Raw genomic sequence first — 26,172 nt, 5'->3', positions numbered from 1 at the left:
TGTTATTGATTTCTAGTTTCATACTATTATGGTTGGCAAAGATAGTTGATATGATTTTGACCTTCTTAAATTTATGGCCTAACATGTAATCTATCCTATGAAAGGTTCTAAGTACACTTGAGAAGAATGTGTATTCTGTTGCTGTTGAGAGCAATGTTTTGTATATATCTCTCTGATCCATTTGGTCTAAAATGTAGTTCAAGTTCAATATTTTCTTCTGACTAATGTGGGGTATTAAATGTGGGGTATTAAAATTCCATATAATTATTGTGTTGTATCCTGCCTCTCTTCAGATCTTTTAGTGTTGGCATTGTATATTTAGGTGCTCTGATGTTGGGTGCATATATATTTACAATTCTCATATTCTCTTGATGAAATGATCCATTTATCACTATATAATGACATTCTTTGTGTTATTTTTACGTTTTTGGCCTAAAGTCTATTTTGTCTGAAATAAATATAGTTACCTCTCCTCTCTTTTGGTCTGCATTTGCATGAAATATCTTTTTTCATCTATTCACTTTCAGTCTATGAGTGTCATTTAAGGTAATGTGAGTTTCTTGTTGGCAGCATACAGTTGAGTCTTCTATGGTGGTGTTTGCTTTTTCTCAGGAATCCTTCACAAAGCTCCAGACTAGATTAAGTTTTTTGTTATTATTGTTACACTCTTATAGGATCACATTTTTCTTTTCTGTAGAACACTTATATTTTTCTTACCTCTGTATCTATTTGTGTTATTATTTAACTCTGAGCTCTATGAGACTAGGAATTGCTTGTTTTCCTTCACCACAATCTTGGGCACATAGCATGGTTCCTGGTACTTAAGTACATAATAAAATGTTGTTGAAGGAATGTATAAATAAATTGGCAAAAGACTTTGCACACAAAAAAATTTCAGTCAGTAATTTCAGATATAGTCACAGAAAATAAAACAACTTTACTTTTAGTATGTTAGAATTAAAAGCATTGATTTTGCTCACAGAAGAAGGCTCTTTGGTGCTTCATTATATATTTAAAAAGAAAGTGTAAAGGACACCACTTCTTCAAATAATTATAATAAGGCCATTTCTTAATTGTGAAATGAAAAAGACTCATAATTATGTTGGTTGACTCTACTTATTATATAAGTACTTAACCAGGTTTTCAATTTACATTGGATGGTAAACACTGACAAGGAAACGTCTGCATAATGGAAAGTACTTTGACACCTGACCAGCTTTGCCAGGATTCAATTTCATTAAATTATTGTCAATGTACACATCAAGTGTGTGAGGTGGAGTTGAAGGGGTTCCCTTGTGAAGAAATGTGGGAATTATATCTCAAGGCATATAAGGTGACTTAGCTCTCAAAGGTGTTCTTTTTTAGGGCAAGTAACAAAAGTGATTTTCACTGTTATCCTAGAATCATTCTTAATGAAGTTATCATTTGTTTCTTCCCTGAATACATCATGTTCTGACACTCGCTTATGCTCCTACCACACTGAATTTCTTATCATACTCTGAATTCAGGCCCTGTTATACTTCTCCCTTTGTCTTTGCACATATTCATCCCCCATCATACTTTTCCCTGTTTTCCTAGCTGAAACAAGATGTGAATTTGGTCCTTGAACAGTCAATGCACTTGCATTTCATTAGTGCTACATGACAGATTTTTTACATTCTTTTTGGTGGGTACGCTTCTTTATCCCTCAATTCTATCTTTGTCGTTATTGACATTGGACAACTCTCTGGCCTTTTTGTTTTGTTTTGTTTTGTTTTTGAAAGCATAGTCTTTTTCTAAGCCCCGTTATACGTCCTTGTTTTTATGTCTCAATGGCCCTTTCCCTCTGAAGCTAACCATTCTTGTCATAATCTTCGTACTGATCCCATATTCCCCTCTGAAGGACATTATGCTCATACTTATCTTCCTCTGTTTAGAAGCACCAATTTTTATTTTGCTTTTTCTTGCTCTCAATGTTTATATATTAAAAATCTAATTCTTTTCATCTAAATAAATACAGACTTTTCACAGATTTTATTGTACTTTGTAGCGTTGATATACTTTGTATCATTCTTTTTTAGCAACACAAATCCATTTTGACCACCCATTCCTCTTGCTTCTGCCTCTACCATTGAATTAAGCCCAGTATTTACAATGTTGTTATGATGTTCTTACAGTCAGATTTAAAAGCTTCTCCTTAGTCCTCTTACTTTTTGACATCTCAGTGCTATTCTGATTCTGTTGGCAATTTCAACTGCTTTCCAAACTTTTCCTTCCTCTTACTCTCACTGATATAGATGATTCCAATTTCTCTTTTTGGTTCATCTCTTTGTGGTTTATCTTCCCTCCATCACCAGGTCTCCTTTCTTCTTCCGTCTCTCAACCGTGAGAAATATCCAAACTTTATTTCTTGACCCTCTATTCTCAAACTTTATTTTGTAGAAGCTGCTATCCTCTATTTCTGTCTTAAATCTTCATCTATAAATCAATTGTTCCCAAATCCTAATCCTTTGCCAAATCTTTCCATCAGGCTACAGCCTTTTAGTTCAAACTACCTACAAGAAAACTTTTCTTGAAATTTCCTAAAAAGTACAAATTTAGTGTGACTATAGCCAAACTTCTCATTTTTATCCTTAAAAATGTCCCTTTTGTCCTCATCCTCCTTTTAAGTTGGGCCACTAGTACTCCTCAAAGTTCAAATGCTTGTAATTCATGACAAAGCCCAGTATATTTTCTTATAGGTTTCCCTGTCTGTTTTTATTGCCTTCTTCAATTTTCCTTCCCACAGGAAGACTTCACAACTCTTGTGTGAATATAGTTGCCTCCTAGCTATATTTTTTCTTTTATATCTTCCAGTTTTCCAAAACTATATCTTACCTTTCTCTCATTTTTTAAAAAATATTACCTTTCTCTAACTGTGCTTGCATTTAGTAACCCTATTATACAATTGGGCCCTTCTATTATAAATAGGCTATTCAGAAATCAGTTTACTAAATCAAAATAACAGTATCAGTAATCATACTCTACTGCCTCCTACAACTGACAGTATTTTTACTGCCTTTTAAAACTTGCTATATGTAAGAAAGTTAATAATGTTTATTACACATCTCAGAAAAATAAGCACAAACATAGCTAGCAGGCAGGCCATTATGTAAACAGAGGGATGAAAATGTTAATATACAACTGAATAGATGTCTGTTGGTGATGGACACAATCTCCCTGGCACTTAGCTTTGTTCCTCTCTATGGAAGTTTATGGGGAGAGGGTTTGTGAAAAAAGCTTTGATACTGTCTTATTCTCTTATGGTATTGTATGGTTTAGCATTCATGTGGTTTCCTAGTATTTTATAAATTGTATTCTTTTAATTGCCTCCATATGAATAGAAGCTATGATGCCTGTCATCTTGGCTAGCATATCTAGTTTCACTGTAAGAGTAAAGCCAAAAAAAAAAAAAAGAGTAAAGCCAAAACCAAAACAAAACAACTATAATTTATTGACTAAATTTTATTAGAGGCATTTTATATACTAATTTTATATTAAAATTTAGACTAATATAGGCAATTTGAAGGTAGAAATTTAAGGCAAGTAAAGTGATAATTTGGTAAGGGTATTCTACATCATTAGATAATTAGAAACATGTACTTAGTTTTTTTTTCTCTTTTAAATTTGAAGCCTTTGGCAAGAATTCAAGTTATACAGTTTTTTTTATGAAGCCCAAGTAGTCTTCAGTCTAAATGATCTTAGATCTAAATGTGTTTACACGTGATTTTTAAAACTTAATGACTATATAATCAACTAAAAATTTAGCAAATTCTGAAAAAATTTTATACAACCCATCTGTTAATATTTAAATATTCTCTTTTAATCTTTTTAAAAATGTGTATGTGTTTTGCATGCCAGTAATCATAGTGTTTATGCTTTTTTCCTGTGGAATTTAAAAGACAACACTTTATCACAACTATTTCCCCTGCATATGCTGCATAGCTTCCATGCTTCTGTGATTTTTTTTTTAACAACAGGGTCTAAGGAGGGAGCAGGGTAAAGTCTAATGACGCACAGCCAAAGAATTTCCTTGCCTTGATAATAGGCCAGCTGCCCATTAACTTAACCAGCTTCTAGCTCACTGTCACACACTATCGTACGACATTTGTTCTAAAATTGTCAATCTACAGGGAATAATTAAGGCTTATTGCCTTGAGATTTAAAAAAATAAAATTGGCTTTATATGAGAGATTCTTCCTAATGTAATGCAGACAGAATAAAACAGGAGTAATGTTTCAATCTGTGAAATAAATTCTCAATTTGAACATCCTCATGCTGAGAAGGAAACATCCAACTATTTCAGTGTATAGAGATGCAAGAAATTTGATATTTTTCCCTTGACATTTCTGTCATATTCAGCCATCATCCTGGGCTGTCAGCACCTGCCCCATGACTTAAAAATCCTGTTTGATCTGTGTTCATCAATTACTGCATCAGCAGCTGTACCTCTCAGTTAGTTTGAATGAACTTAAGAAGAAATGGGCCAGGGTTAACTAAACACTTGGTTCTCTTTTTAGTGTGTGATACCCTATACTTTCCCCTTGTATTGAAAAAAATATTATTTGTTTTTCTCTATTTATTTGCTTCCCTTCTCAATGTCCTGTACTTTCCATGTGTTTCAAATTATATTTTGGTTGTTATTTGAGGGTTATTTTTATAGAACGTTAGTTTTGTTTTTATTATTCCTTATTATTTCACATTTTTAAAAAATATTTTTAGTGACTGCATCTGTATTTAATGTTAATTGAAATATGTTTACCCTCATCCATTCGTTCATCAATTTACCACTTATTTATTCATTAATTGTAGCCCTCTTTTATGGCAGGAAAAAAGTTTGATTACTTTTATTGAGTTGATTCACTTACTTTGGTTTTAAGAAAGGACCAATTTAGTCAAATTACGATTTGTGATTGGCTGATTTTTCCGAAGCGTTCATGTATGAAATCAGAATCTGTTTATTTCGTTGAAATGGAGTTCTGTAGCATATCTTGTTGATAATATAAAATGCATTTTCTAATAATTACTTTTTATTTTTAATATCTTCATTTTAAGAGCTCACAATTTTTGTTTTCTAAACTGTGTATTAAGATTAAATTGACATTGTTTCTACTTAGAAAAAAGTATTTTTTACAGGTTAGTTGTCATAATGTTTTACTGTACTTACTGGTGCTAATAATTTGTGTATAAATGTGTTTTAAAATTTGGGCTTATTTGTCTTTTGCTTATGCAAGGGTACAAAATCTCATTTTCTTCTTCCTTTTTTTTTCAGGCCTTGCTTTCATTAATCTTTTTTTCTGACCTGTATGTAAAGACAAACAATTATTTCATTTTCTCATCCTCTTCAATCCTTTTTGCAAAATTCTTCCTTTTTAAAATATTATTCTCTAGATAGTCTTTAAATATAAACTTACACAATTATTTTGGTCTAATAATGACTGACCCATTCCCTAGCTCTTTACAGCCATTTTATTACATTTTAAATCCAGAGTATACTGTATTGAGGCCAAGTAAACATTGTTGTGATAGCACAATTTTCTCTTCTCTGGCTCACTGTGGCTGTACTCCTGATAACGTTTTCATGTTGTGTTTTGCAGGGGAAAATGTATTTCTTCACAAGAAAATTTTAAGTTTAGTGCCAGCCATTCTTTGCCACTCTTATTAGAGACATTTGCCGTTTGCCTAGTAAACATTTGTTGAAAATGCTTCCATGAATAATTATCTCTTCCTACACTATTTAAACTCAAAGTTATTCATGTACATCTAATCAACTGAGAATAAAATCCCATTTCTTAGAATTTGTTTGGATTTCTTCACAGCAATGAGTAATCATTGCTAAAGGAAGATTTACTGGGGCAAAAAGCATGATCAGTCCAGTTTCATCAGATTTATATTTTATGTCTGAGGCATTCCATTCCTTGGGATAACGGTTTCCCAGCCTACCCACTCAAAATGCATTTATAATTTAACTTATATATGCCTAATACTTGCACACATTTTCTTTAAATTACATTAATTTTGGTATTGTATGAATTGACTTCCACTTTTGTTTCTATAATAATCGAGTTTGATTTATCATAGCTTGCCATGCAGCCACTGACCAGAAAACATTTACATTATAAATCAGAGATCAATAGTCATGACAAATTTCCTTCTATTATATTAATTTACACTTTCACAGTTTATAGAAACACCTATTTTCCCATTTTCTTGCCAGTACAGAGCTTCTTATCTGTTCTTGTTGCAGCAGCCTGAAGTTAGTTAGGGATCTGTCCACGTTTTCTCCCTTGGTCTCTCTGTATCTCTATTATATAGTTAATATTTAAATACTTTCTTGCCTTCAAAAAATTCAAACAATATACATGTATGTTAGTAAAATTCAAATTTCTCCTTCACTCTTTTTCAAGGGCTACTACTCTCAACAGTTTATAGTGAGTGTTTTGTAAATTTATTTTAAAACATGTTTTGTTGATATGTACCTGTGTATTTTTTTACATTCACATATTAAATTATATGCATTGTACTGTCTTTTTTCTTTGCTTAAAAATATTGTAATGACATGTCTATTTTTAATAATTGCATACATGTTATTATGTTCCCTTTTAGCCAACCTTTAGTTTGTTTCCATTTTTTCTGTATTATAACATTTAAATGAATGCTCATAATTGGTAATTCTGGGGCAGAAAAATAAAAATGTATCTAACTTTATTGGATATTGTAAAATTTATAAACACTTTCTTACTAATAGTGTAGGTCACTTTTTCTATGTCCTTAATTATTTTTAGCTGATTTATCTACAAATTTCAGAAAGAGAATCTGAAAATCTAATTTATTTTTTACTTGTGGACTTGTCTATTTCTCCATAATGTTAATTTTGCTTCATACATTTCAAGAATATATCTTCAATGGTACACATCTATGATTACTATATATTCCTTGTGGGCTTTTTATTATAATTTTATGCTATTCTGTATTTTTAATAATTTTTCTTAAATCTATTTTGTCTAATATTAGTATTATTTTACCAGTCTTTTGTTTTCCTTTGGTTAGTTTTCAGTTAGAGTACTTTACTGTATTAGCTAGTGTTCTCCAGAAAGACAGAACCAATAGGATGTATATAGATATTTAAGAGGAGATTTATTATGATAATTGGCTCATGTGATTATTGAGGCCAAGAAATCTCACAGCATGCCACCTGCAAGCTGGAGATGAAAAAAGGCCAGTGGTATAATTCAGTCTCAGTCCCAGTGAGAGGTGAGGCCAGCTGGGCTTCTGGGTCCAGTGGGGACTTGGATAACTTTTCTGTCTAGCTAGAGGATTGTAAATGCACCAATCAGCACTCTGTAAAAATGCACCAATCAGCACTCTGTGTCTAGCTAAAGGATTTTAAATGCACCAATCAGCACTCGGTAAAAACGCACCAATCAGCACTCTGTGTCTAGCTAAAGGTTTGTAAATGCATCAATCAACACTCTGTAAAATGGACCAATCAGCACCCTGTAAAATGGACCAATCGGCAGGATGTGGGTGGGGCCAAATAAGGGAATAAAAACTGGCCACCCAAGCTAGTAGCAGCAACCCGCTTGGGTCCCCTTCCACTCTGTGGAAGCTTTGTTCCTTCACTCTTCACAATAAATCTTGCTGCTGCTCAGTCTTTGGGTACACACTACCTTTATGAGCTGTAACACTCACCACGAGGGTCTGCGGCTTCATTCCTGAAGTCAGCGAGACAACGAACCCACTGAGAGGAACAAACAACTCCGGATGTGACACCTTTAAGAGCTGTAACACTCACTGTAAAGGCCTGTGGCTTCACTCCTGAAGTCAGCAAGACCACGAACCCACCAGAAGGAAGAAACTCTGATCATCTGAAGGAACAGACTCCAGACACACCATCTTTAAGAACTGTAACACTCACCACGAGGGTCCGCGGCTTCATTCTTGAAGTCAGCGAGACCAAGAACCCACTGGAAGGAACCAATTCTGGACACACCAAGGCCAGAGAAGCAGTAGAACTGATGGTATAAATTCTAAAGTCTGAAGGGTGGAGATCCAGGAACTATGATGTCTAAGGCTGAGAGAAGACGGCTTGAGAAGAGCTCCCAGCTCAAAAAGAGAGTGAAAGAATTTCCTCTGCCTCTGCATTGTTGTTCTACTTGGGCCCTCAATGGATTGGATGATACCCACTTACATTGGTGAGGGTGCATCTTTTTTACTCAGTTTACTGACTCAAATGCAAATCTCTTCCAAAAATACTCTCACAGACACACTCAGAAATAACATTATACCAGATATCTGGGTGTCCTCAGCCCTGTCAAGTTGACACATAAATTTCACCCTCACATCTTTCTTCTTTATCAATCTCATGTGTGTATAACTAGATTAATAATAACTTTAGTTTCTAGTGGAGTCATAATTGACAGTACTTTTCATTTTATTTACATAATTTTATTTTTTAATAATTATTTATGTATATATGTGTTACTGTCTTAAGTGTGTACAAGTTACACTGTACACTTTTTAGGGTTAGATTGATCATTTATTATCAAATCATCTTTTTGATAATTTTCAACACTTTTGACTGGCTTCTTGTTATCGCTGATGAGTTCATCACTGATTCTTACCTAAGAATGTGACCGACAAAGAGCTCACTTCAGGAGTAGAAGTGCTGGTTTTGCCATTTTATTTTTATTTTCTTGTGCTCTATTATTTGTAGCCCCTTGTTTTCTTGCATAAATATTTGAAAATCATGTGACCACTTTTGTGAGGATTAGCAGAAATGCATAATTTTGGCAATCCACTTGACATGATAAATCAAAATATGAAAGAACAAATGAGTAATCTGTCAACATTTTGGGGTTGAGGAAATCTTATTCTTCCCCTGGGATATTTTATCTATTATATATGATTAATAGGCATTTGACATGCAAAAATGATGATGCCAGTGTCCATTTGTATATTACATATTAGTAAAGCATAATTTAAAATTTTGTTTTAAATACAAATTACTTTTCTTTGGTTTATTTTATTCTCCCTGTTACAATGAATTAGCTAATGTAGTGATTCTCAAAGTATGACCTATGGACATCTGGAGGCCTCTGAGAACCTTTTTGGAGGTCTATGAAATCAAAATTATTTTCATAATAATACTAAAAATTATTTATATTTTTTGCTGTGTTGACATTTGCACAGATAATGCATATACCATCATAGGGAAAACTGCTAGATATATAGCATGAATCAAGGCAATGTGGAAAAAAAAAACGATACTGGTAGACATTGTATTCTTTGTTGCCAAGCACATACAGAAAAAAAAAAAGCAAGTTTTACTTACAAATGTATTGGAAGAAGCATTAAAATTATGAATTTTTATTAAATCTTGATCTTTGGTTACATGTCTTTTTAATATTATGTGTAAGTAGGAAGTATGCATAAAGCATTTCTGCTACATTGAAAGGGTAGTTGTATGGCTGTGGCATTGTTGAGAGCTGAACTGGCCCCTTTTTTTCATGAAATGTTATTTTTTTTCTTGAAGGAAACTGGTTATTCAGACTAGGGAATTTGGCAGACATTTTCTCAAAAAAGGGTGAAGTGAGCTTGTCACTTCAAGGAACAAAACTGACAGTATTTGTGGCCAATGATAAAATTTGAGCTTTTCAGTTAAAATCAGAAGTTTGAAAATGTGTATCCACCACTATAAACTTGACAGCTTCTCAATACTTAAAGACAGGGCCAGCTACATCATTTGCAGGGCTCGGTGCAAAATGAAAATGTGGAGCTCCTTGTTCAAAAAGCAGGAAAAAGGTGCCACTAAAGTACTAAAATATAAAGCTTTTTTTTCCATTCCATGGTCTGTCTCTTGACTTGCCGTGGTGTTTCACGTTTGCTATTTAATGTTGCTCTAAGCAAAAAAAAAAAAAAAAATTAAATTTTTATATTATTAGCATGAACTTTACTGTTTAAATTGCAAAATGACAGTTTTATATGCAAATATAAAAACATTTTGTTTATATGCAGAATCACAAATTTGAACAGTCTGTATTTCATAGTTCATACATGAACTTTTTTTATTCTCACCCAAAGAGTGGAAATCATGCACAACCTTAATTAGCTGTTTTTATTTCATTTCTTGACACTTGCACATTCTGTCAACACTATCTTTAGCTTACTTATGAGTAAGGAAGGACTGAAAAAAAAAGGAACTATAAGTTGCCCTGTTTTTCCTTTTCTTACTCTCATCATTGTTGGCTATTATAGGAAAGGAACACCAGTAAGAAAGAATATGACAGAGTTACCTGTCGATCCATCTTTCTCAGAATGTACTGCATTCTTTCTACATTGGAAACAAGTTCTGGTTTGATTGAAAAGTGTGGCCTCTGAAGATTGTTGGTACCCTCATTTAGTTAGAAGCTTAATAAGGTAACTGTGATAGTTTGAATGTTTGTCCCCTCCAAAACCCACATTGAAATTTAATTGTCATTGTAACCGTATGAAGAGGTAGGACCTATAAGAGGTGATTAGATCATGAATAGACCATGCCATTATCACAGGATTGTGTTCCTTATCATGAAAGTGGATTTACTCCCTATTGCTCTCTCTCTTGCCCCCTTTTGCTCTTCTGCCTTCCACCATGGGGTGGACTTACCAATAGGGCCTTCACTAGATACTGGCCTTTTGACTTTGGACTTTCCAGCCTACAGACTGGTAAGCTAATAAATTTCTGTTCTTTATTGATTACCCAGTGCGTGGTGTTCTGTTACAGCAACACAAAACAGATTAATACACTTACCTTGTACTTACTGTGAATCTCGCTAAATTCCCAAAAATCGTGGGTTCACTAGAACTTTGTGATTGTGGGGTGTTATGAACACCAAATGCAATAATACACTGTAAATTTATATAATGCATTTGGAAAGCAAGCTGTCGATACTATAAAAAGACATTTAAAAATCTGCTCTTAATTCAGGAGTCTTAATTTCTTGGAAATGTAGCATAAAGAAATATTGAAACAAAAGTAGAAAGCTATATGTACAAAATTGTTTTTTACTGTATTAATTATCCAATATTAGTGGAAACTAGAATGAATCACTGTCCAATGAAGTAATTAAATATTATACAATCATGAAAATAGCAAAAAGCATATGTAAAATCATGGTAGCATGTTAAGTAAGTCAAAATCTTAATAAAAATTAACACACACTGGGATTAGAGCTGTGTAAAATTATGAATGCTTTTGGATAAATATCATTGGGGAACACATGAAAAATAGAAAAGTTATTCCAGGTAATAGGATCATATTAAATTTGTTTCCATTTTGCTGAACATTCTCTAATATTGACTTTTTGTGGTAAAACAAACACATAAACCAAAAATTCAAGAGGCTTTCTGAAATAATTATAGTCAAATGTATGGCATTTGGAATTGAGACTCAGGTTGGAGACCTGGCTCTCTTATTTATATTTTTATTTTTATGTGATTTATATTTATATTTATCATTTATATTTATGTGATTGTAGATCAGTAACTTAATTTTGTGAACCTTAAATTCATCATCAGTTAAATAAAGATTTCCACTAGCTTTTTAGAGTCATGAGATTAAGATGATGTATGTGAAAGTGTGTCTTTATTTAACTTTTAAGTTAAGGGGTATGTGTGTGTTTGTTATACAGGTAAACTTGTGTCATGGGAGTTTGTTATACAGGTTATTTCATCACCCAGGTATTAAGTCTAGTATCCATTAGTTATTTTTTTCTGATCCTCTCCTTCCTCCTCTCAATGGTAGTTTAATAGGAACAGCATTGAATCTATAAATTGCTTTGGGCAGTAGGACCATTTTAATGATACTGATTCTTCCTACCCATGAACATGAAATTTCTTTGTAGGTGAGCTGACCTTTCTCTCTAGCTGCCTTTAACATTTGACTAACCTTAGAGAAGCGGTAGGGGCAGAAGCCAGCTGATGTTTCTTTCATTTTAACTCTGATAATTATGTGTCTTGGGATGATCTTCTTGTGAAGTAACTTACTGGAGTTCTCTGTATTTCCTGAAGTTGAATATTGGCCTCTCTAGCTAGGCTGGGGAAGTTCTCATGGATGATATCCTGAAATATGTTTTCCAAGTTGGCATTCTCCCCCATCTCTTTCAGGGACACCAATGAGTTGAAGATTTGGTCTCTTTACATAATCTCATATTTCTTGGAGGTTTTGTTGGTTCCTTTTCATCCTTTTTTATTTATTTTTGTCAGGCTGTCTTATTTCAGAAAGCCAGTATTCAAGCTCTGGGATTCTTTTCTCTGCTTGTTCTATTCTGCTATTAATACTTGTGATTACATTATGAAACTTTTGTACTGTTTTTCAGCTCTGCTGGGTCTGTTATATTCTTTTCTATACTGGTTATTTTGTCTGTCAGTTCCTGCATTGTTTTATCGTAATTTTTACTTTCCTTGCATTAGGTTTCAACATACTCCTGTAGCTCAATGACCTTTTTTCTTATTCATATTCTGATTTCTATTACTGTCATTTCAGCCATCTCAGCTCAGTTCAAAACCCTTGCTGGAGAGGTGATGCAGTCATTTGGAGGAAAGAAGGCACTCCAGCATTTTGAGTTTTCAGAGTTATCTTGCTGATTCTTTTTTATCTTTGAGAGCTTATCTACCTTCAATCTTGGAGGTTGTTGACCTTCAAATGGGTTTTATTTCTTTTATCCTGTTTGGTGACCTTGAGGGTTTGATTGTAGTAGAAGGTGGATTCAGCCATCTGGCTTTCTTTCTGAGAGACTTTAGGTGGTCATTCCTTAGCTCCCAACTCCTGGACTGTGTGCTCTAAATCTGGGGGACTTGGGCCTTGAGTTTGTTCTTTGGATCTGGATCCTTGAGGTTTGGAATTCATTGCACTGAGGGAGCTGAGGTGCAGCAGCTATGGTAGAGTGCTAGTGGGTGCCAGAGTGCCTGCCTCCCTGCAGGCATGTACCACAGTGGTGGAGGCAATGCAGCTGGGTTGGCAGGGGCCCATGCTGGAGACTGCACATGGTTGTGCTGTAGGTGGTGTTGGCTTCGGGGTGAGGTGCTGGCAAGTTCAGGTCTGGGTGCTTTCTCTGTACCCCACAAGCAGGAGTGATTGCTCAGGGTGGAGGAGGATCTGCTGTTCTCTGTGCAATGTTATTACAAGGAAGGTGGTGAGCCTTGCTGGCTCTGTGCCCACCAAGGCTTTGTCTACAATGGCAGGGCAGTAAGGGAAGGGCGGGCAGACTGAACTCCTTTGCCTGGGTGGGGTAAGGAAAGCAAACCTGCCTATGCAGACAGGTGCCAGCAAAGCAATGTAGGGAGTTACCACGGTCACAGGGGAAACTGCAGTACGGGGAGGGAGCAGGTTGGCTGATGTACCACCATAGGGGCCGCCTCTCTGGAGTTCTCCACTGGTCATGGTCAACCAGCACAGAAGCTATTGTTCAGGCCCCAAGGGTACCCAAGACTGCCCTGCAAGCAGCCATGGCCAGGCTGGGGTCTCAGGAGAGGACAGCAGACCAAAGGATGTTTAGATTTGACCAGCCCCATCTGATGGGCAAGACCACCCTGCAGAGATCAGGTCCAACAGCTCCCCGAGGGCTGAAGTCTCAGTGGGAGCAACTTGGGCCTAAGAAGATGACTGTCCCTGGACATGCTCTGCTGCAGATGTTCTCACACCAAACCCTCTGATTTCCCCATCAGCTGGCTTCTGCCCCTACCGCTTCTCTAAGGTTTCTTAATTTTTCAAATTCTCTAAGCAGGTCTCTCTGCCAACTCATGTGTCAGTGGTAGTCAAGGGGTCTCCTCATGCTGGGGTTCCAGAGGCCTGTGGCAAGAGTGGGTTGCTCCTTACCAATTCAACTCACCCATTCCCCTAGTGCTGTTATGGTCCAAAAATGAGTTCTGGTGCACAGTAGCCTTGTGCAGAGTTTCCAGCTTTCTCCCCCTTCAGTCTAGCTTCTGGGTCTTCCCTCTGTCCATTCTCAATACCGTCCCTCTGAAGATCTGTTAAAAGCACGCCAACTGTCTCAGGCCCTGTGTGGGAGCTGTTCCACGTGGCTGTGTCCTCCCCCTTTGAAAGTGTTTCTTAAAGTTCCTGAAGCATTGGTATTCAGTATATTTTAGTTTATTCTAAAAGTAGGGAGACTTTATTTTTCATTTTAGTGTTTTTAAAATGCTAATAAACTTTGCCAAAAGGCTTAACATGCTGGATGAGAGAAGGTTATACACTTTGGGAATTTTACTTGATAACTGCACTTACTGCTTTCCACAGTTCTGACTGCATATGCTTGAATGATTTTAAGTAGTAAATCCATTTTTACCTTCAAAGGCCATTTATTGTCTGGTAGGACAATGAAATAGATTCAAATGCAGGTGTATATCTAGTTTAGGCAAAATATTTTGCTTTATCAAAAAGTAACAATCTTCAATAAACTTCTGTAAGAGGTCTTTCGATTTCAAATTCTTGAAATATTTTGCATTGTACAAATAGTTGCAAATGAATTCTTTAGTGCTGTTTGCAAGATTCTGTGGAAATGTCTGCAGTCAACATTTTGGTGTAGTGGAAATAACATGAGAAAGGAATCTGAGACAATTGTGTTCTTGCAAATTCAGCATCGTATCTTTCCTTTCATCTGTAAAATTAGGGGTTGCATTACCAATTATTTAAGCTTTCTTAACTTTTCAAATTCTGTGATCTCATGACTCCATTTCTTTCTATCCATCTATCATCTATCATCATCATCTATCTTTCTATCTAATGGCTATCATACATTTCTTCACATAGATCAGGAACTTAATAAGAGGTGTTTTTTGTTGTTGTTATTCGTTTTTTTGTTTTTGGATGGAGTTTCACTCTTTTCCTCCAGGCTGGAGTGCAATGGCGTGATCTCAGCTCACTGCAACCTCTCCCCCTGGGTTCACGTGATTCTCCTGCTTCAGCCTTCTGAGTAGCTGGGATTACAGGCAGGAACCACCACGCCTGGCTAATTTTTTGTGTTTTTAGTAGAGATGGCGTTTCACCTTGTTGGCCAGGCTGGTCTTGAACTACTGACCTCAAGTGACCCACCTGCCTTGGCCTCCCAAAGGGCTAGGATTACATGTGTGAGCAACCGCACCGGGCCTAAGAGGTAGTTTTTACATCCCTTATCAGTCAACAGTGTGTTCACATATACTGCTGTGGACCTGAAGTAAACCCTGTTAAAAAGGCCACATAGTTCCCTTAATATGCTTGTCTTGTGGGCTAAATTTCTTCATTCTATATCCAATAAAAGAAAAAGTTATCTATCTCATTATTGTAGAAAAACCTATGATATGATAGCATAACCAAAACCAGCCTTTCCTGGGAGAGGTAGGGCTGATAATTTCTGAGCATTTATTATATTCCAAGCTCTTTTTAAAAACACTTTACATACATCATTATATCTAAAACCCAAAGTAATATTCTAGGCAAATACCATTTAATATATAAGGAACCTGATACCTGGAGAACATACAGAACTCTCCCCATGGTCACACAGTTAAATAGCAAAACTAGAACGTAAGCCCATATCCACCTGTGTCCAAAGCCTGAGCCCTTATGCAATATGTTGCACTGCTTTATAAGAGGAGTCTGCTAAGGAATGTCTCCCCAAATGCCTCTCTTGTTTATAATCATACATTTATAGTTATTCATAGGTGGTCTTTTTACAAGTAGAAGTAAAAATATCTGTTTTAGGTTTCAGGACTTCCAGTTAGCCAAGGTCAGAGAATAAAAACAGAGAGACAGGAAGCTTTATGACAATTTTTCAAAAGGCACCAGAAATTGGAACAGCTATACTAAAATGAAAAATTGGAGCAAAGGAGGATGAGGGGGAACAAGACAACAAAGATGTGATTGAGAAAGTATGTATATTGAATTATTAGTATGGGGCAGAAAAAAGATGTTTTCACTAATGATGACTGATAGTTGGCAAAGATTTTTGAAACAAGATAACCCATTCTCCACAAGTCAAGTGACAGGACCAAGTCCAAATTTTAACAAAAATGTTGTTATGATAGAGTGCACTAGTATGAACGTCACAGGCATAGTTCTGTCTATTGATGTTTCCTGTGACAAAAGCAAGATATTACTGAAGTTGCACGTTCATCACTTTCTAAACCAGATGTCAGAGATCTTAAAACACCCCAAAAGGAAAAGTCCCATCTTTTGTATTGTGAAAGAGATAAAACACACAGCAGGAAATGTAATTCTCTTGAAGATTCTTCCCAAAGGATTTGACAGAGCATAGCATTTCTTATTTGGCTTTAAATAAATATCTGTCACAGAAATTTTAGCTTTTAGGTTCAATTTAAACCATAATTCCTCGTGTTAAATACATGTAAGGACAAAAGAGATTGGAATACAGTGCACTGCCATGAACCTGAAGCTTGACGGCAGAGCAGATTTCAATCAGCAGTCTGCAAGTAAGCCAACGACACTTCTGTGATACAACTCAATAAGGTATAAGGTGGTGAAGGTTGGGCCGTGGCCATGAACTTGGTTCAGGTGAACTGCATTTGGGAAGTCATAAACTATTCATTTAACTCCATTCATCTTCTTTGGTTCTCAACATTGGATTTTTATTTCCTGACCCCATGGACAGATATCCAGGTTTCTTATCATCATATCTGGAGAGATTAGTACTTTCTATTTCCTTACTTATACACAATTGAGACTTGACCGTAATTTTGTTTTAAACATCTTGGTTTAGCCATACCCTCTTTTTCCTATGTGTTACCTTGTCACTTGAAATTTTATTAATTATTTAATATTGGTAGAAAAGAAATGAGATGTATACTAGTTATCTCTTTCTTGTGTAACACATTACTCCAAAACTTAGTGGCTTGAAGCAACAAACATTTGTTTTTCTCACAGACTATAACCACCTGGGGTGGTTTAGCTGAATGGTTCTGTCTCAGGGTCACTGACAAGGTTGTAATCGAGGTACTGGCCAGGTCTGGAGTCATCTCAAGCTCAGCTGCAGGGGAATCTGCTTCCAAGCCCTCTCATTTTACTGTTGGTAGGTTGCAAATCCACACAACATGGCAACCGCTTTCTTTGGAGTGAGCAATACAATAGAGCAAAATAAAATAGGGTTTAAGGGTGAAAAGGTTAAATTAAACATTTACTATCAAATCAAAATGACACATTTTTGTTATATAATATAATTTTAAATCTCATGCCCATTGTCTGTGGTCATAGGTCAGGAGTGTCAGAATTATAAACTTTTTTGAGTCGTGTGAAAAATTAGTCATTGTAAAGTACCCTCAGGTAAAAGAGTAAAATAATGATAGTTGTAAAATATATAGAAATTTAACAACAAAACATAATAAACAGGATATAACATAATGAATTATATTAGAAATGAACAACATAACAGTGTAACCATGACATAGCTGTGGCCTTAAACACATTTTTTTAAAATGAAAGCCAGTAGAAATATGTGACCTGAGCATTTAAGATAGAAAGTCAGAAAAAAAGGTCAAACTTATGGAAAAACAGAATAATAATATTTATAAAAGAAATTAGTAAAATAGAACTAAGCAATGAATATTTGCTGGTTATATTAAATAAATACAACAGCCATTTTTCTAAATGAAAGGAAAAACTAATAACCCAAACTGCTAGCAAATATAATGATTTGTGCAGAATGATATTTATTGTGAAAGAGGGATACAGTAGGGTAAGTCATGATATGTCTAAATAAAGAATACTCTGTAGTGTGTATAAATAATGCTTTGAAAAAAATCCTTTCTTATAAAAACAGTAAATTATGCTAATTTAAAAATTTTGATAAAGTGCATAGATTTGATTATTTTGACTATCGCAGGTGGTATTTGATTATTTCCCTAACTTGCTGTAATTACCCCATCAAATAATATTATTATAGTTAAATAATAGTTGTCTTCTTATAGTATAAATTTTTAAAAAAATGTTTAACTTTACATTTCTGCTTCCTATAATGGCAGATTGGGTAACTTGGTCCAACTATCCCCTAGAAGTCAATTGAAAATCTTGTCGATATATAAAAAATTTTGCTTGAAAGTAATAGGGAGATAGCATAATAGTGAGGAATTATCAGTCTGGGATGTGTGGAAAGGTTGAAAATCAGAGGAATTTGAGTTATATTTCACCTGGGAGTAAGTAAAAAAATCTATGAGGGAGCTGAAAGAATAAAAGGATGGATGGCTCATTTGATAGCCTCAAGGCTAGAGTAAAAACCTCTGGGTACAAGGCACACCAGTAAAAGTCCTGATGCATCTTCCTTACACTGAGATGGAACTCTAAAAAGCCTCACTAGAGAGTAACTGTGATACAGAAGAAGATGGCTTCTGCAGGGACTGCAGTTCAGCTTTGTGGGCATCTCAGCTTTGAGTAATCCCAGATGGCTAGGTACTCTGAATATAAAAATTTAAATACTTTCGGGAAAAACAAAATGTTTCTATTACTCAAACTATCTACAAAGTTTTGAAAATACTAGCACACATGACATAAGTATGGAAACAATAAACATTACAGACTACTAGAGGATGGAGGGAGAGGGGCTGGGTTACAAAAAATACCCATTGAGTACTATACTTAGTACCAGGATGACAGGATCCATACTCCAAATCTCAGCATCAGGCAATATTCCCATGTAACAAATATGTACATGTACCCCTGTATCTAAAATTAAGGCTGACATTTTAAAAATGAAAATACAATATTTAAAACATGAAATCAAAATGCTAGTTATATAAGTTGTAAAAATAACATGACTGGAAAGTAATATCAATAATGATAATAACAGAAACAGAACCACTGGGGGAAGTTGTCAATTCCAGGTTTTAAAATAAGTATGCTCACTAAATTAAGAAGTTAAGGGCAGGAATAAAATAATTTAAGCTTGAAACTGGGAAGAACCACATTGAAATTCTGTAATTGAGAAACTTAAACACCAAAGTGAAAAACTCAAATAGTGGAATTAACGGCAGACAAGAGAGAATTTGTGAACTAGATTACAGATTAGAAATAAATTTCGAATACCAAAACAAATTATATATAAGTCTAGAAAATATAAAGAGAAAAAAAGAGAGACAGTGTATAGGTCTGCTTATATATAATCTAATCCCAAAATAAAAAGGAAGAGAGGATAGGACAGAAATGATATTAGAGAATGTAATGATAAATAATTTGTTTTTAATTGAGGAAAAGCATCAAGCTTAGAAGCCTACAAATCCTACAAATCCCAAGTAGAAACATTTAAAAGAAAGTCACATGCAGGCTTATGATCATAGCAGTATTGAAGCTAAATTTGAAGAAAAAATATTAATATAGATTATATGAATAAATTATTTTCAGGGAACAACAATTAGAATGAAAGCCAAATTTTCAACAGAAATAATAAAGACAGGAAGGAAAATAAATGGTATTGTCAAAATGGGGAAATGAAATAATTGCAAACCTGTAACTATAATTTATTGAAAATATTCTTGAAGAGTGAGAGTAAAATAAAGACACTTTCTGACAAACAAAATGAGAAAATTTTTCAGTGTACCATCACTGAAGAAAATGCTAATAATTTTTTTTCAGGCAGAAGAAAATAAGCTAAGATAGAGCTCAGAAATATAGAAAGAAGTGTAGTGAATCAAGAAAAGTACATAGAAAAGTAAAGGTGAACTAATATTGAAAGTATAAAACAATAAGAAAGATGTATTGTGGAGCTGAATTAATATTGAAAGCATAACACAATAAGAATGATGTAATGTGGAGTTTAAAACATCAAGATAATTAAAATGTAAGACTTAGCAGCGTATGCTTTTGGAAGTGGATAACTGGAGTTAAATGATTCTCAGGCCCTTCCTTCAAGAGGAAGGGAAACAAAGAAATTAATGAGAATTTGGCCTTCTGGCTTGGAAGAGTGGGTGCCTAAAAGGCCAATTTCTTCTATAAATAACAGCTATAAAATTTGAAAAACAAATCTGCAACAATAGAATCTAACAGAGGACTCTAGGGGTTGAACAGTGGTGGTAGATTTGGGATTGGAGTAGAAACTTGTAGCAAGTGACTGGCATAAAATGAGTTCCCTGGATTTTGTGACTTTTCTCTGACAGTGGCCATAGGCATTGCCTTGAAAGCAAAAACAAATGCAAATCTGTGATAGAGAACCCGGTCCTTCTGGCCATCAAGGGAGATCAAACAGCCAAGGCTACCAGAGAATAAAGGAAGGTACTCAGAAAGCTGAGGCACAGAGAAGGTGAACCCCAAGTCTCCTGGTTTAACTCAGCCTGTCACTGGCTGACTCTTGAACCTGTTGTTTATGACACAAACTGAAAATTGTGTACATCTAAAAATTTAAGAATTGATCTGATATCTGAGCTACCACCCACCACAGGCATGAGAATTGACAATATGATTCTAAGTGAATTGCCTGCTGAAACAAAACAATACTCCTTAAAACAATATAATACAATAGAGTCTATACAACATAACATTCACAACTTCCGGGAGACAATCTAAAATTACTCATATGTGTGTGTGAGAAAAATGTGGCTTTATTGCAAAGAAAAAGGCAAACAACAGATGACAAATTAGAGATAACCCAGATGTTAAAATTACATAAAGCATAGTGGAGAGTGTGTGGATAAATGAACTCACTATTTTGCAAGGTTTCTAAATATTAATACTCTAAGTAGACTGAGAAAAATAGGGTGCACATAGAAATCCCTAGAGCAACCGCTTAAAAAGAAAAAATGCAAATAGACATAGTTAAAAAGCTAAATTCTAAAACACTACAAATAAAAGAAGACAAGAATGGGGAAAGAGGGAGAAATGTTATACACAGTGAACAAATAATAAAATGGTAGACCTAAATTTAACCTAATCAATAATGCCATTAAATATTGATTAAAAACACTCTGATTAAAAGGCAGAGATTATTAGAAATAAAGGAAGATGAAACTATTCTATCACAAAGAGAAGCACATTAATATAAAGAAACAAGTTAAAAGTAATTGATAGAAAAAGATATATCATGCAATAAGAAAATGTGAGTATAAGAAGACTAGTGAAACTATATTAATATCAGATAAAATAGACTTGAAGACAAAGTATTACTAACATAAGCATTAATAATATAAAGAACATTATTTTATAATGTTAATAGGCTAATCGATTTGGAACATATGATAATCATGAATATGTATACACCTAATAACAAACCTTAAAACATATAAAGCAAAAACAGGATTAAAGGAAGAAATAAATAATTGGACAATCATTTTAAAATCTCTCCCTTAGAAACTAATATACATATATATATATATATATATACGTATATATATATATATATATATATATATATATATATATATATATAGTTGTTGTTGTTTGTTTGTTTTGTCAGTAGAACCATGGAGAATTGCCAAGATTGCTGACTAGATGTGGCCAGGAGAAATATCTCCCACTGAGAGACTGGGACATTGGAAAGACTATAACACACCTCTGAGTAGATCTTCTGATGGAAGACATTAAGAGTGGATGCAGAGAGGATGCAGATGCTGGGCTGAAGAGAGAGGAAGCTGGAAACCCTGCATAGTGTGGCTGAGCCTCAGGACTTGTACCTGGCCCTCAGAGACTCCTGGGGGAAGGGTGAGTTTACAGGTGAGGAGTGGCCTGCTCTCACCATGGACCCATTCTGGTAGGTCCCTCAACCTCTATGGGCATCTGAGATGGTAGGAAAAGCTGCTCAGAGAGGTCATATGGGCAGGACTCCAGCCTATGCAGAGCCCAGAGTGGTGGGAGAACAGCTGCAGTGAAGCACATCCAGGGACGGCCATCCTCCAAGGCTCACTGTGCTTCTCCAGGATACTTTAGCCTCAATATGACTGTTAGAGCTAGACAAAGCAGGGCAGTCTTGCTCGTGGGATGCGGCCTGATGCCTGATCTGATGCTCTGTTACCTGCTGGCCTCTCTTGGGGAGCCAGTCTGGTCGTGCTTGCTTGAAGTGCAGCCTTGGATACCCAACAGGGGTGCTTCTAGGAACCCTCATCATAGCTCCTTCAATGGCAGACTTAGCTCCTTCAATGGCAGACTGTGCCTGATTATCAGAGAACTCCAGCAGACCAGGCCCCACTTACATGAACCAGCCCACGCACAGCTTCACCCTATCACAGCCCTCCCGTAATGCTTTACTGACATGCATTTGCTCATGGCCATTCTCCATCGCTGTGCTTGTATGAGTCCACCTTGTTGCTTCCCCCTGCCATTAACATGCAGGTTCACTCCTGTGCCAGCACTAATGTGTGCACAGATGCTGGCAACACTGTTCTCCCCCCAACCCCTGCTACCACCGCCACCAATGCTGCCGGTGTGAATGCATACATGGACACCAGCAACTCCATCTCTGCTAGTGTACTGCCCTTGCTGTGCTGTCATCACTGGCATAAACATGTGCAGGAACACCACCTCCCTGCTCCCACAGTTGCTCTGTGCAAGCCAACATGTGTGCACCTTGCCACATTGCTGTGGCTGCTGGTATGCATGAGCCAGCATGGATCCCACTGCCACTACTCCAGTGACATGCTTTGACCAGCACCCCTCCCCATCAGAGTGTGGTGGCCAGTGGACAAGAACACCTCAGTCTCTCCAGTGCAGCAGCTTCCTAACCTTGAGGGGCCAGAGAACAAGGCTGGGGGCCCAGTACCAGCCTCCCAGAGTTAAAACATGCAGCCCAGCAGTGTAGAGCTGAGCCTTGGCTTTCTAAAATCTTCCAGAAATAAATGAAGCCAGTTGACTGAACCCATCATATGCCACAATCTAACTCCCAGGGCATCAAAGAAGATAAAAGCCAAAATCCCCATCCAAAGGACAGTAATATCAAAGATGAGAAAGAACCAGTGCAAAAAACTCTGGCAATTCAAAAAGCCAGAGTGTCTTTTTACCTCCAAACGATCACTCCATTTCCTCAGTGGTGGTTCTTAACTAGGCTGAAAAGACAGAAATGACAGATATAGACTTCAGAATATGGATAGGAAAGATGATCAAGATTTGGGAGAAGATTGAAACCCAATCCTAGGAAGCTAAGGAATACAATAATGCAATACAGGAGCTGAAAGATGAAATGGCCATTTTAAGAAAGAACCAAACTGATGTGATAGAGTGACAGAGCTGAAAAACTCACTTTGAGAATTTCACAATACAATTGCAAGTATTAACAGCAGAGTAGACCATGCTGACGAAGGACTCTCAGATCTTGAAGACCAGTTCTCCAAAGTTAACTTGGTCAGACAAAAATAAAGAAAAAAGGATATAAAAAGAATAAACAAAACCTCCAAGAAACATGAGATTATGTAAAGAGATCAAATTTCTGATGCATTGGCATCCTTGAAAATGAGGGAGAGAAAGCACGCAACTTAGAAAACATATTTCAAGATATTGTCAATGAAAAATTCCCCAACCTCGCTAGAGAGTCCAATATTCAAATCCAGGAAATGAAGAGAACGCCTGCAAGATATTATACAAGATGATCATTCCTAAGACACAGAGTCACCTGATTCTCTGAGGTTGAAATGAAAGAAAAAATGTTAAAGGCAGCTAAAGAGAAGGGACAGGTTGCTTACAAAGGCAACCCCATCAAGCTAACAGCAGACCTTTCAGCAGAAATCCTACAAGCCAGAAGAGACTGGGGGCTTAGATTCAGTATTTTTAAAGAAAATAAAATCCAAATAAGAATTTTGTATTCAGCCAAACTAAGCTTCATAAGCAAAGGAGAAATAAGATCCTTTTCAGATAAGCAAATACTGAAAGAATTACCATCAGATATGCCTTACATGAGGTTGTGAAGGGAGTACAAAACATGGAAAGGAAAGATCATTATCAGCAACCACAAAAACACACTTAAGTACATAGACCATTGATACTATAAAGCAACTACACATCAAGTATGTATAATACCAGCTAAAAACATGATGACAGGATTAAATCTGCACTATCAATATTAACCTTAAATGGCAATGGGCTAAATGCATCAATTAAAAGGCACAACATCGCAAGCTGGATAAAGAAGCAAAATTCATTTGTGTGCTGTCTTCAAGAGATCCATCTCACATGAAACAACATGGATAGGCTCAAAATAAAGAGATAGAGAAAATCAACCAAGCAAACGAGAAACACACAACCATAAAAAAGAATGTATTCATGTCCTTTGTGGTGACATGGTTGGTGCTGGAGGTCATAATCCTGAGCAAACTAATCAGGACAGAAAACCAAATACTGCATGTTGTCACTTATAAGTGGAAGCTAAACACTGAATACACATGGACACAAAGAAGAAAATAACAGACCCTGAGGCCTACTTGAGAATGGGAGGAGAGTGAGGATTGAAAAACTATCTATTGAGCACTATGCTTATTACCTTGGTGAAAAAATAATCTGTGCAGCAAATCCCTGTAACATGCAATTTACCTATAATAAGCCTGTGCATGTACCTCTGAACCTAAAATGAAAGTTACAAAAAGAAAAAAAAAGAAACTATACAAAATATATTTGTAGGAAAAATGAGTAAAGTGAATTCAGTGTTAAACTCTTTGATGATTATTATTAAAATTATGTAAATCTATGTAATTTAAGTAGACATTTTGCCAAATGTGGTTTCAGTGAAGACTTTTAATATCATGGTATTTTTGTTTTCATCTTACGGGATCTTTTTGAGTAATAAAAATAATATTTTCAAACAACTACAAAAATATATTAGTAAACATTATAGGATCTAAACAACACTATTTGCCATCTTGATCTAGTTGGCATTTGTAGAACAAGAATCCAACAACTCCAGAATATACTTTTCCACCCTAAATACACATAGTACATTCACCAAAATAGACCAGGAACTTCAGTCAGGAATGAGATAGATGTCATGACTTGATGTTTAAGAAGAATCTATCACCACCAAAGCAATCACTTTGCAAATTGATAAAACCTATATTTACATTTTGAAATATTTCCTAATTTATTAAATTGTTGTAAGAAAAGTGAATTAAATATACTTAAAGTGCCACAGCAAGACCTGTAATCATAGCTGTCTTTTTTTTTTAATTTTCACATACAACCTCATTGTTTAATTAGCAAAAATATCAAATTCTAAATTTGGAAAATAATATAGAATCCATTTTAGGAGCATTTTGAAATGGCACTGTGTCTGTGATCATATGGAAGCTTATGTACTTGACATCTGAGAAACACATAATTCTATTTCAAACTTTCTCCTGTTCTCAGCACTTTTAGCCTTGAATGATATGCTCTTGGCAATTTTTATTTTGTGATCACAAAACTTACTGCTTTCACTTCATGTTTCAAAGTATGATTTGGAGGGAAAATTAACCCTGTTCAAAACTAATCCTTTCCACAGTCACTGCCACTATCCCTTTAACATTTCCTAAAGGTCATTGTTGAGATTTCATTATCATGTTGCTGATTTTTCTGCCCTTTTTTTTTCTTTTTTTCCACTATCAGGGGAAGAGAACATTCTGCAAAAGGTTTGCTGGTCTCCCTGTTCCCTTACAGTCCCAAAAGAAGAAAACTGATTCCTTAAGCTTCAGAATCTCTAGGCTAGCTCCAGATTCTTATTTAGATACAAACACTCATGGCTTTCAGAGACCCAAAGAATCTTAGAAGGAAAGCACTGAGGGATTACAAAATATTTTTGAAGGCTACAGTCTCTATTTTGAAAATAAGAATGAAAAAGGTATCATCACCACCTCTGAAAACTGTACCCGCCCCCCAGTCAATGTGCAGTGTTTTAGTACATCCAGTTTCTGATGGGGACAAAACCCATATGCATATTAAAACAGAGGCTCAAATTCAGTGTCAAAAGCCTTAAATGATTAGCCCAAGTATTAAGAAATGCATAAAAGAAGGCCCTGACATTTATTAGGCACAAAAAATGCTTTCCCTTACACTTATAGTTCGGCAAGATGATATTAGAAACTTTGTTTTAAATATATATTCAATAGCCTTCTTTTTAAGAAGGATAAACTAGGTCCAAAGATGTGAAGCAGCTTGCCCAAATATACACAAAAAATCAATCTGACCAGTTTTTGTTACACCCATAGTCATCAGTTGCAGACTTCTCAAATATTTTTGGACCAATTTTG

At 35.6% G+C, this 26,172-nt stretch overlaps 1 long non-coding RNA gene across 3 annotated transcripts in view, besides 1 other annotated feature; it reads left to right on the top strand.

Moving 5' to 3' along the window:
- Positions 1-26,172, top strand: part of LOC105374235 (uncharacterized) — a 221,596-nt gene that overhangs the window by 28,446 nt on the left and 166,978 nt on the right. The window contains exon 3 of one of the 3 annotated variants that reach the window (NR_188690.1): positions 10,670-10,722. The exons of 1 other annotated variant lie outside the window; for it this stretch is intronic. This is a non-coding gene — a long non-coding RNA (uncharacterized LOC105374235). Of the gene's footprint in view, positions 1-10,669; positions 10,723-21,425; positions 25,083-26,172 lie in introns of those variants that run through there. One more of the 3 variants, NR_188691.1, reaches the window with a different exon arrangement.
- Positions 12,672-13,171: an enhancer, noted in NCBI's record as "H3K27ac hESC enhancer chr3:178061465-178061964 (GRCh37/hg19 assembly coordinates)". NCBI's record gives its function as "activates a minimal SCP1, AML or CMV promoter by ChIP-STARR-seq in primed H9 embryonic stem cells {active_cell/tissue: H9 hESC(primed)}" and the evidence as "EXISTENCE:reporter gene assay evidence [ECO:0000049][PMID:30033119]".

This window comes from Homo sapiens, chromosome 3, assembly GCF_000001405.40.
Source record: "Homo sapiens chromosome 3, GRCh38.p14 Primary Assembly".
Classification (NCBI taxonomy): Eukaryota; Metazoa; Chordata; class Mammalia; order Primates; family Hominidae; genus Homo; species Homo sapiens.
The sequence above is the reverse complement of the archived record's forward strand: the minus strand, read 5'-3'. Positions and strand labels throughout refer to the sequence as shown.